This window comes from Homo sapiens, chromosome 22, assembly GCF_000001405.40.
Source record: "Homo sapiens chromosome 22, GRCh38.p14 Primary Assembly".
NCBI lineage: Eukaryota > Metazoa > Chordata > Mammalia > Primates > Hominidae > Homo > Homo sapiens.
Genome location: NC_000022.11, coordinates 17,325,295 through 17,326,377, shown reverse-complemented (window position 1 = coordinate 17,326,377; position 1,083 = coordinate 17,325,295). Strand labels below are relative to the sequence as shown.

Sequence of the window (1,083 nt, the reverse complement as noted above, 5' to 3'; positions counted from 1 at the left end):
GGATCACAGGATCAAATAATAAGATAATATTTCTTTTTTTTTTTCAAATGGAGTCTTGCTCTGTTGCCCAGGCTGGAGTGCAGTGGCGTGACCTCAGCTCACTGCAACCTCCGCCTCCTGGGTTCAAAAGATTCTCCTGCCTCAGCCTCCCGAGTAGCTGGGATTACAGGCACCCGCCACCACACCCAGCTACATTTTTGTATTTTGAGTAAAGATGGGGTTTCACTGTGTTGCCCAGGGTGGTCTTGAACTCCTGAGCTCACGCAATCAACCCACCTCGGTCTCCCAAAGTGTTAGAATTACAGGCGTGAGCCACCGCGCCCAGCCCAAATGGTAAGATATGTTTCCTTTTGTAGGAGACTGCCGGACTGTTTTCCAACATGGTGGTGCCATTTTGTATCCGCAGCAGCAGTAGTTCTTGCTGCTCCACATTCTGTCAGCATTTGGTGTTGTCAGTGGACTCTGGCCACCCTAAAAGGTGTGTAGTGGTATCTTCTTGTTGTTTAATTTGCATTTCCCTAATGACATTTGATGTAGCGCATCTAGTCATATGATAATTAGCCATCTGTATACCTTCTTTGGTGAGGTATTTGTTACGGTCTTTGGTCCATTTTTAAATTGGGCTGTTTGTTTACTAATCATTGAGTTTTAAGAGCTCCTTGCATATTTTGAATAACAGTCCTTTATCAGACATGTCTTTTGTAAATTTTTTTTTTCAGTCTGTGGCTTGTCTTCTCATTCTTTTGATGGTATCTTTCTCAGAGCAGAAGTTTCTAATTTTCATGAAGTTTTTAAATCTTCATAATGATCAATTATGTCTTTCATGAACCATGACTTTGGTGTCAATGACTAAAAAGTCATTGTCAAACCCAAGGTCATCTAGATTTTCTCCTATGTTATATTCTTCTTTTTTGTTGTTGTTTTGAAATGGGGTCTTGCTCTGTTGCCCAGGCTGGAGTGCAGTGGCGCGATCTCGGCTCACTGCAACCTCTGCCTCCTGGGTTCAAGCAATTCTCCTGCCTCCGCCTCCTGAGTAGCTGGGATTTCAGGTGTGCGCCATCATGCCCAGCTAATTTTTTTGTA

At 43.4% G+C, this 1,083-nt stretch overlaps 1 annotated feature.

Moving 5' to 3' along the window:
- Positions 236 to 405: an enhancer, noted in NCBI's record as "experimental_62410 CRE fragment used in MPRA reporter constructs". NCBI's record gives its function as "activates a minimal promoter by MPRAs in K562 erythroleukemia cells, with activity observed for the non-introgressed 22:17806948 variant allele {active_cell/tissue: K562}" and the evidence as "EXISTENCE:reporter gene assay evidence [ECO:0000049][PMID:34662402]".